Raw genomic sequence first — 11087 nt, 5'->3', positions numbered from 1 at the left:
ATCTGCCCACCTTGGCTTCCCAAAGTGCTTCCCAAGGTTGAGCCACCGTGACTGGCCAATGGTATTAGTTATAACATTTTTTTTTTTTTTTTGAAACAGGGTCTCGCTCTGTCACCAAGGCTGGAGTGCAGTGATGCAATCTCAGCTCACTGAAACCTCCACCTCCTGGGTTCAAGCTATTCTCCTGCCTCAGCCTCCTCAGTAGCTGAGACTACAGGCTCAGGCCATCGAGCCCGGTTAATTTTTGTATTTTTAGTAGAAACGGGGTTTCACCATATTGGCCGTGTTTGGGCAGGCTGGTCTTGAACTCCTGACCTCAGGCGATCTACCTGCCTTGGCCTCCCAAAGTGCAAGGATTACAAGCATGAGTCACTGATCCTGGCCTATATTATTTTCATTAAACAAAAAATACAATTCTAAGCACTGCCCCAGCCCAGCCATCTGAATGGACCCCTCCTCTCAGCAAAGGGCATCCCAAAATTAACCTGTAGAACCTAGTTCAGGGAAGGGGGAGTCAGACATGCCATATTATGCCTTCCTTCTTGTTGGAATTCAGGAAAAGCTGATCAGCATTAACATCAACATAGACCTTAAGACTTATAGAACAGACCCTTTAAATCTGATAAGAAATATTTACAGTCTATTGTCTCTGAAGCTTGCTACCTGGAGGCATCATTTGCATGATAAAACCTTGGTCTCCACAAGCTCTTATTGTAACCCTGACATTCCTTTCTATTGATTCTAGGTCTTTAGACAAGAACTTAACTCTCTCAACCAATTGCCAATCAGAAAATCTATTAATCTACCTATGACGTGGAAGCCCCTCCTACCTCCCCACCCCCTACCCAACCAACCCCCAACTTCCAGTTGTCCTGCTTTTCCAGACTGAACCAATATACATCTTACGTATATTGATTGATGTCTTATGTCTCCCTAAAACGTATAAAACCAAGTTATAGTCCAAACACCTTGGGCATATATTCTCAGGATTTCCTGAGGGCTGTGTTATGGGTCACTCATATTTAGCTCAGAATATATCTCTATAATAATAATAATAAATAAATGATAAATTATAAATAATAAATTATAAATTATACATTAATGATAAATATTTTACAGAGTTTGACTCTTCAGCAATAAGGTACTAATCATGAAAAGATACTAAATATTTGACTAATATTACTCTCTTCTTGTTTAAAATATGATTCTCTGGTAACAATAAAGCAAATTTTTCAAAAACATTTAAATATTATATATGAATTTAATTTTATTCAACTTTAGCGTGGCTATTAAAACAAAATTTTATTTTGATGCATAAACTTACAAAGTATATTAAATCCTATTTATGACTTATTGTGCATGATTTATATTTGACTTGTAAAAAAGTTATTTTCAAATTGATTATTATAAAATGAAAACAAAATACATATTCAAGAATAAGTTCTAAATTTGTGATAGTCATATTATCCTGTCTAGATGCAATAAATTGAGGTTGTTAATAAACATTGAAAATACAGGGAGTTTATCTAAATTAAAATAATTTGAATACTATAACACTGTAGTCAACTATTTAACAATAAAAATGCTAATGTTGATAGTTATATGTTTATGCAAATAAAATAAATGTTGATCCTGTTACTCAAGACATTTTGCTACTTTTACTTTTTTTATTTTTTAAATTCATATGAATGTAAGTTGTACAAGTGCAGTTTTGTTACTTAGATATATTGCATAGCGGTGAAGCCTAGGCTTTTAGTGTAACCATCACCTGAATAATTTACATTGTACCCATTAGGTAATTTCACATTTCTCATCCATCCTCCTTTACCCCACAACCTTACTAATCTACAATGTCTATTATTCCATAGCTTATATCCATGTGTGCCCATTATTTAGCTGCCACTTACAAGTGAGAACATGTGGTATTTGACTTTCTGTTTCTGTATTATTTCACTGAAAACAATGGCCTCTCATTATTGGATATCTACCCAAAGGAAATGAAATCATTATGTAGATATGCTACTTTAAAGAAGCATAGTACGTACTTGGCTCTATCATAAAGTATATTTAAATTAAAACGATCAGGATAGTCCATATAATATATGAAAGTGTTCTTTAAATAACTTACTTTACTTCTGCATGTTCAAAGTTGTTTGAGATGTAACTCTGCCTTGAAGCATCTAATAAAATAGTAAACGCAAATACGAAAACAACAGCTGCCATATGAGCAGCAACAACAGCAACTCTGTAAATAAAACCCTATCATCGAGGTCTGAATAAAGCGGGATAGAAAAAATTAGTAGATAAGCGAAGCATTTTGAAGTTGACAATTAAGCATTTTGAAGTTGACAATTGATCATTTCAAAGACCTTATGATGTCCTAACTGTATATTATATGCCAAAGCTAGCATTAAATTTGACAAATGTTTACATATTAACCTGAAAAATAATTACTAAAGAGGAAAGAAGTATCATATTTGTATTAGTCCATTTTCATGCTGCTGTTAATTTCTTTATACATTATGGAGACTGAGTAATTTGTAAAGAAGAAGAGGTTTAATGGACTCACAGTTCCACTGGCTGAGGAGGCCTCACAATCGTGGTAGAAGGCAAAAGGCACGTCTTACGTTGTGACAGACTATAGAGAAAGAAAAACAAGCTAAAGGAGAAACCCCTGTCCAAAACCAACAGATCTCATGAGACTTATTCGCCATCATGAGAACACTATAACGGAAACTACTTCCACGATTCAGTTATCTTCCACTGGATCCCTCCCACAATATGTGGGATTTATGGGAGTTACAATTCAAGATAAGATTTAGGTGGGGACACAGCCACACCGTAACAATATTGGCAAATGACTACCTGATTATCTCATGTAAAAATACTACTAAGCATAGATACATACAAAATATGATTTTGCTAAATGGAAGTTAACTAAAATCAAGTCAGGATTAAAAGCAAGGAAAAAGACAAATTATTAGTAGAAGTATTAAAAAATGATGGAATCAACTAAAGTATACCTAACTTTTATAAACTTGAAAGAGTAAAATGCAATTAACCAAGACAATAAATTTGGAAATGTACAAAATTTGAAAACTGGTTAACACACTTTATTATTATAAAACATGAGACTAAAAATCAAACACTGTTTTTGATTACTCGTCAAATGATATATTCTGTAAATAATGGTTCTCATAGTTACAAATGAATGAGATAGGGTTTTTATATAGGCACTGCAGTTTTCTTGCTATATTTATAGATAACTAATGTTATTTCCTTATACTTAATTTTTTTCAACCATAAATTCGGGTAATGATAGTACTTATCCAAAAAGTGTGAACATTCAACTACCCAACACATCCAAAGTACTTTGAATACAATAGTGCTATAACAGCGGGGTGTGGTGGTTCAGGCCTGTAATCCCAGCACTTTGGGAGGCCTAGGTCGGCAGATCACAAGGTCAGGAGCTCGAGACAAGCCCGACCAACATGGTGAAACACGTCTCTACGAAAAATACAGAAATTAGCCAGGTGTGGTGGCATGCACCTGTAATCCCAGCTACTCAGGAGGCTGAGGCAGAAGAATTGCTTGAACCCAGGAGGCAGATGTTGCAGTGAGCCGAGATTGTGCCCCTGCACTCCAACCTGGGTGACAGAGCGAGACTCTGTCTCAAAAAACAAAACAAAAAAAAAGTGCAGTAACAAAAATCTTAATGTAGTTTTGGAAAAACTATTTAATTTTACCTAGATGGATCAAAGTTTGGACAAGCATATTTTTATATAATTATGACTAATTTGTTAAATCTTAAAATATCTATGTTCAGATCAAAATGCATGGAAAGATGATGATACATTTTAAAACAATATTTTAAAGAAAAGAGCGTAGACAACGTGTGTGTGCATATACGTATACCTTAAGCTACACATGTGTATGTGTACACATATACATATATCTTAAGCTACACATTGTATGTGTGCATATACATATATCTTAAGCTACACATGTGGTTATATGTGTCTGTTGCTTTTTATGCTGAGTTCAGTCATATAAAAATTCTTTTAGAAGAAATATTTATGTTTTAGTCTCTAAATAAATTAGGCATTATAATACTTTAAAAAATGTTTTGTAATCTTCATGAACGTAAAAGCTACTAAAAGTAATTTTTTGTTTTAAACACTATATTAGTTTTATGTGTCTGCTCTAATATAATAAATAACTACAGACTTGATGGTGTAAAACAGCACACATTCTTTTACAGTTCCACAGATTAGAAGGCCAAAATCAGTTTCACTGGACCAAAATCAAAGTTCAGCAGAGCCACTTTCACTCCCTCTCTGGAGGCTTTGGGAGAAAGTCCCTTTGACATTTCTAGCTTCTTACGGCCACCTGAATTCTTTGGCTTGCAGCCCTTTCCTCCGACTTCTATGCCAGTAGCATAGCATCTTGCTGCAGTAGTCACATTGTCCTCTATCTTTGTAGTTAAAGCTGCTTATACCTCCCTCTCTAATGTTTGTGAATATATTTTGTGCCATGCAGCTAATAGAAGATAATCTCTCTATTTCAAAATCCTTAATTTAATCACATATGCAAAGTCTTTTTTGCTGTACAAAGTAATATGCACATGTTCTATAGATTAGAATCTGGTTATGGAGGGGTGGGCATTATTCAGCACACCACGAAAGGCAAATTTGAAACCATAAATATAACATTCTTAATTTTGGTTAATTATTATTTTACTGGACCTTGTATGTGGCAAAGATGATGATTATCTTTAATTAATTAATTAATTTATTTATGTATTTATTTTATATTATACTTAAAGTTTTAGGGTACATGTGCACAATGTGCAGGTTAGTTACATATGTATACATGTGCCATGCTGGTGTGCTGCACCCACTAACTCGTCATCTAGCATTAGGTATATCTCCCAGTGCTATCCCTCCCCCCTCCCCCCACCCCACAACAGTCCCCAGAATGTGATGTTCCCCTTCCTGTGTCCATGTGTTCTCATTGTTCAATTCCCACCTATAAGTGAGAATATGCGGTGTTTGGTTTTTTGTTCTTGCAATAGTTTACTGAGAATGATGATTTCCAGTTTCATCCACGTCCCTACGAAGGACATGAACTCATCATTTGTTATGGCTGCATAGTATTCCATGGTGTATATGTGCCACATTTTCTTAACCCAGTCTATCATTGTTGGACATTTGGGTTGGTTCCAAGTCTTTGCTATTGTGAATAGCGCCGCAATAAACATACATGTGCATGTGTCTTTATAGCAGCATGATTTATAGTCCTTTGGGTATATACCCAGTAATGGGATGGCTGGGTCAAATGGTATTTCTAATTCTAGATCCCTGAGGAATCACCACACTGACTTCCACAATGGTTGAACTAGTTTACAGTCCCAGCAACAGTGTAAAAGTGTTCCTATTGCTCCACATCCTCTCCAGCACCTGTTGTTTCCTGACTTTTTAATGATTGCCATTCTAACTGGTGTGAGATGGTATCTCATTGTGGTTTTGATTTGCATTTCTCTGATGGCCAGTGATGGTGAGCATTTTTTCATGTGTTTTTTGGCTGCATAAATGTCTTCTTTTGAGAAGTGTCTGTTCATGTCCTTCACCCACTTTTTCATGGGGTTGTTTGTTTTTTTCTTGTAAATTTGTTTGAGTTTCTTGTAGATTCTGGATATTAGCCCTTTGTCAGATGAGTAGGTTGTGAAAATTTTCTCCCATTTTGTAGGTTGCCTGTTCACTCTGATGGTAGTTTCTTTTGCTGTGCGGAAGCTCTTTAGTTTAATTTGATCCCATTTGTCAATTTTGGCTTTTATTACCATTGCTTTTGGTGTTTTAGACATGAAGTCCTTGCCCATGCCTAGGTCCTGAATGGTAATGCCTAGGTTTTCTTCTACGGTTTTTATGGTTTTAGGTCTAACGTTTAAGTCTTTAATCCATCTTGAATTGATTTTTGTATAAGGTGTAAGGAAGGGATTCAGTTTCAGCTTTCTACATATGGCTAGCCAGTTTTCCCAGCACCATTTATTAAATAGGGAATCCTTTCCCCAATGCTTGTTTTTCTCAGGTTTGTCAAAGATCAGATAGTTGTAGATATGTGGCATTATTTCTGAGGGCTCTGTTCTGTTCCATTGAGCTATATCTCTGTTTTGGTACCAGTACCATGCTGTTTTGGTTACTGTAGCCTTCTAGTATAGTTTGAAGTCAGGTAGTGAGATGCCTCCAGGATTATTCTTTTGGCTTAAGATTGACTTGGTGATGCGGGCTCTTTTTTGGTTCCATATGAACTTTAAAGTAGTTTTTTCCAATTCTGTGAAGAAAGTCATTGGTAGCTTGATGGGGATGGCATTGAATCTGTAAATTACCTTGGGCAGTATGGCCATTGTCACAATATTGATTCTTCCTACCCATGAGCATGGAATGTTCTTCCATTTGTTTGTATCCTCTTTTATTTCCTTGAGCAGTGGTTTGTAGTTCTCCTTGAAGAGGTCCTTCACATCCCTTGTAAGTTGGATTCCTAGGTATTTTATTCTCTTTGAAGCAATCGTGAATGGGAGTTCACTCATGATTTGGTGCTCTGTTTGTCTGTTGTTGGTGTATAAGAATGCTTGTGATTTTTGTACATTGATTTTGTATCCTGAGACTTTGCTGAAGTTGCTTATCAGCTTAAGGAGATTTTGGGCTGAGACAATGGGGTTTTCTAGATATACAATCATGTCATCTGCAAACAGGGACAATTTGACTTCCTCTTTTCCTAATTGAATACCCTTTATTTCCTTCTCCTGCCTAATTGCCCTGGCCAGAACTTCCAACACTATGTTGAATAGGAGTGGTGAGAGAGGGCATCCCTGTCTTGTGCCAGTTTTCAAAGGCAATGCTTCCAGTTTTTGCCCATTCAGTATGATATTGGCTGTGGGTTTGTCATAGATAGCTCTTATTATTTTGAGATACGTCCCATCAATACCTAATTTATTGAGAGTTTTTAGCATGCAGCGTTGTTGAATTTTGTCAAAGGCCTTTTCTGCATCTATTGAGATAATCATGTGGTTATTGTCCTTGGTTCTGTTTATATGCTGGATTATATTTATTGATTTGCGTATATTGAACCAGCCTTGCATCCCAGGGATGAAGCCCACTTGATCATGGTGGACAAGCTTTTCGATGTGCTGCTGGATTTGGTTTGCCAGTATTTTATTGAGGATTTTTGCATCAATGTTCATCAAGGACATTGGTCGAAAATTCTCTTTTTTGGTTGTGTCTCTGCCCGGCTTTGGTATCAAGATGATGCTGGCCTCATAAAATGAGTTAGGGAGGATTCCCTCTTTTTCTATTGATTGGAATAGTTTCAGAAGGAATGGTACCAGTTCCTCCTTGTACCTCTGGTAGAATTCGGCTGTGAATCCATCTGGTCCTGGACTCTTTTTGGTTGGTAAGCTATTGATTATTGCCACAATTTCAGATCCTGTTATCAGTCTATTCAGAGATTCAACTTCTTCCTGGTTTAGTCTTGGGAGAGTGTATGTGTCGAGGAATTTATCCATTTCTTCTAGATTTTCTAGTTTATTTGCATAGAGGTGTTTGTAGTATTCTCTGATGGTAGTTTGTATTTCTGTGGGATCGGTGGTGATATCCCCTTTATCATTTTTTATTGCGTCTATTTGATTCTTCTCTCTTTTTTTCTTTATTAGTCTTGCTAGTGGTTTATCAATTTTTTTGATCCTTTCAAAAAACCAGCTCCTGGATTCATTAATTTTTTGAAGGGTTTTTTGTGTCTCTATTTCCTTCAGTTCTGCTCTGATTTTATTTTTTGCCTTCTGCTAGCTTTTGAATGTGTTTGCTCTTGCTTTTCTAGTTCTTTTAATTGTGATGTTAGGTTGTCAATTTTGGATCTTTCCTGCTTTCTCTTGTGGGCATTCAGTGCTATAAATTTCCCTCTACACACTGCTTTGAATGCGTCCCAGAGATTCTGGTATGTTGTGTCTTTGTTCTCACTGGTTTCAAAGAACATCTTTATTTCTGCCTTCATTTCGTTATGTACCCAGTAGTCATTCAGGAGCAAGTTGTTCAGTTTCCATGTAGTTGAGCAGTTTTGAGTGAGTTTCTTAATCCTGAGTTCTAGTTTGATTGCACTGTGGTCTGAGAGATAGTTTGTTATAATTTCTGTTCTTTCACATTTGCTGAGGAGAGCTTTACTTCCAACTGTGTGGTCAATTTTGGAATAGGTGTGGTGTGGTGCTGAAAAAAATGTATATTCTGTTGATTTGGGGTGGAGAGTTCTGTAGATGTCTATTAGGTCCGCTTGGTGTAGAGCTGAGTTCAATTCCTGGGTATCCTTGTTGACTTTCTGTCTCGTTGATCTGTCTAATGTTGACAGTGGGGTGTTAAAGTCTCCCATTATTAATGTGTGGGAGTCTAAGTCTCTTTGTAGGTCACTCAGGACTTGCTTTATGAGTCTGGGTGCTCCTGTATTGGGTGCATATATATTTAGTATAGTTAGCTCTTCTTGTTGAATTGATCCCTTTACCATTATGTAATGGCCTTCTTTGTCTCTTTTGATCTTTGTTGGTTTAAAGTCTGTTTTATCAGAGACTAGGATTGCAACCCCTGCTTTTTTTTGTTTTCCATTTGCTTGGTAGATCTTCCTCCCTCCTTTTATTTTGAGCCTATGTGTGTCTCTGCACATGAGATGGGGTTCCTGAATACAGCACACTGATGGGTCTTGACTCTTTATCCAATTTGCCAGTCTGTGTCTTTTAATTAGAGCATTTAGTCCATTTACATTTTAAGTTAATACTGTTATGTGTGAATTTGATCCTGTCATTATGATGTTAGCTGGTTATGTTGCTCGTTAGTTGATGCAGTTTCTTCCTAATGTCGATGGTCTTTACATTTTGGCATGATTTTGCAGGGGCTGGTACTGGTTGTTCCTTTCCATGTTTAGCGCTTCCTTCAGGAGCTCTTTTAGGGCAGGCCTGGTGGTGACAAAATCTCTCAGCATTTGCTTGTCTGTAAAGTATTTTATTTCTCCTTCACTTGTGAAGCTTAGTTTGGCTGGATATGAAATTCTCGGTTGAAAAATTCTTTTCTTTAAGAATGTTGAATATTGGCCCCCACTCTCTTCTGGCTTGTAGAGTTTCTGCCGAGAGATCCGCTGTTAGTCTGATGGGCTTCCCTTTGAGGGTAACCCGACCTTTCTCTCTGGCTGCCTTTAACATTTTTTCCTTCATTTCAACTTTGGTGAATCTGACAATTATGTGTCTTGGAGTTGCTCTTCTCGAGGAGTATCTTTGTGGCATTCTCTGTATTTCCTGAATCTGAATGTTGGCCTGCCTTGCTAGACTGGGGAAGTTCTCCTGGACAATATCCTGCAGAGTGTTTTCCAACTTGGTTCCATTCTCCCTGTCACTTTCAGGTACACCAATCAGACGTAGATTTGGTCTTTTCACATGGTCGCATATTTCTTGGAGGCTTTGCTCATTTCTTTTTGTTCTTTTTTCTCTAAACTTCCCTTCTCGCTTCATTTCATTCATTTCATCTTCCATCGCTGATACCCTTTCTTTGAGTTGATCGCATCGGCTCCTGAGGCTTCTGCATTCTTCACGTAGTTCTCGAGCCTTGGTTTTCAGTTGCATCAGCTCCTTTAAGTACTTCTCTGTATTGGTTATTCTAGTTATACATTCTTCTAATTTTTCTTCAAAGTTTTCAACTTCTTTGCCTTTGGTTTGAATGTCCTCCTGTAGCTCGGAGTAATTTGATCGTCTAAAGCCTTCTTCTCTCAGCTCGTCAAAGTCATTCTCCGTCCAGCTTTGTTCCGCTGCTGGTGAGGAACTGTGTTCCTTTGGAGGAGGAGAGGCGCTCTACTTTTTAGAGTTTCCAGTTTTTCTGCGCTGTTTTTTCCCCATCTTTGTGGTTTTATCTTCTTTTGGTCTTTGATGATGGTGATGTACAGATGGGTTTTTGGTGTGGATGTTCTTTCTGTTTGTTAGTTTTCCTTCTAACAGACAGGACCCTCAGCTGCAGGTCTGTTGGAGTACCCGGCCGTGTGAAGTGTCAGTCTGCCCCTGCTGGGGGGTGCCTCCCAGTTAGGCTGCTCGGGGGTCAGGGGTCAGGGACCCACTTGAGGAGGCAGTCTGCCTGTTCTCAGGTCTCCAGCTGTGTGCTGGGAGAACCACTGCTCTCTTCAAAGCTGTCAGACAGGGACATTTAAGTCTGCAGAGGTTACTGCTGTCTTTTTGTTTGTCTGTACCCTGCCCCCAGAGGTGGAGCCTACAGAGGCAGGCAGGCCTCCTTGAGCTGTTGTGGACTCCACCCAGTTCGAGCTTCCCGGCTGCTTTGTTTACCTAAGCAAGCCTGGGCAATGGCTGGCACCCCTCCCCCAGCCTCGCTGCTGCCTTGCAGTTTGATCTCAGACTGCTGTGCTAGCAATCAGTGAGACTCCGTGGTCCTAGGACCCTCTGAGCCAGGTGCGGGATATAATCTCCTGGTGCGCCATTTTTTAAGCCTGTCAATATAGCGCAGTATTTGGGTGGGAGTGACCCGATTTTCCAAGTGCTGTCTGTCACTCCTTTCTTTGACTAGGAAAGGGAACTCCCTGACCCCCTGCACTTCCTGAGTAAGGCAATGCCTCGCCCTGCTTCTGCTGGCGCACGGTGCGTGCACCCACTGACCTGCACCCACTGTCTGGCACTCCCTAGTGAGATGAACCTGGTACCTCAGATGGAAATGCAGAAATCACCCATCTTCTGTGTCGCTCATGCTGGGAGCTGTAGACCGGAGCTGTTCCTATTCGGCCATCTTGGCTCCTCCCCCCAATTATCTTTAATTTAATATAATATTTTTCTTTGATTTTGTTTTACTATCTTGTGTTCTTGGTAAAATATCCTAACTAAAATTTATAATTGTATTGCCATTATTACCTCAAATGAAATCTAAAATGCCATAAGATTTACTTAAATATATACTTTTTTCAAAAATTATGATTTATTATGTTAAATAAAATATTCAAAATGGCTGACCATAAACCAATACACAATGACTCACACAGGTGTAAGTTTGCTAAGTCTACAG

The 11087-nt window shown here is 38.2% G+C and overlaps 2 annotated features.

Moving 5' to 3' along the window:
* Positions 350–980: an enhancer, noted in NCBI's record as "OCT4-NANOG-H3K27ac hESC enhancer chr9:30116712-30117342 (GRCh37/hg19 assembly coordinates)". NCBI's record gives its function as "activates a minimal SCP1, AML or CMV promoter by ChIP-STARR-seq in naive and primed H9 embryonic stem cells {active_cell/tissue: H9 hESC(naive and primed)}" and the evidence as "EXISTENCE:reporter gene assay evidence [ECO:0000049][PMID:30033119]".
* Positions 10316–10817: an enhancer, noted in NCBI's record as "H3K4me1 hESC enhancer chr9:30106875-30107376 (GRCh37/hg19 assembly coordinates)". NCBI's record gives its function as "activates a minimal SCP1, AML or CMV promoter by ChIP-STARR-seq in primed H9 embryonic stem cells {active_cell/tissue: H9 hESC(primed)}" and the evidence as "EXISTENCE:reporter gene assay evidence [ECO:0000049][PMID:30033119]".

Source organism: Homo sapiens, chromosome 9 (genome assembly GCF_000001405.40).
Source record: "Homo sapiens chromosome 9, GRCh38.p14 Primary Assembly".
In the NCBI taxonomy this organism is placed as follows: Eukaryota; Metazoa; Chordata; class Mammalia; order Primates; family Hominidae; genus Homo; species Homo sapiens.
This window is presented reverse-complemented; position numbering and strand designations above follow the sequence as displayed.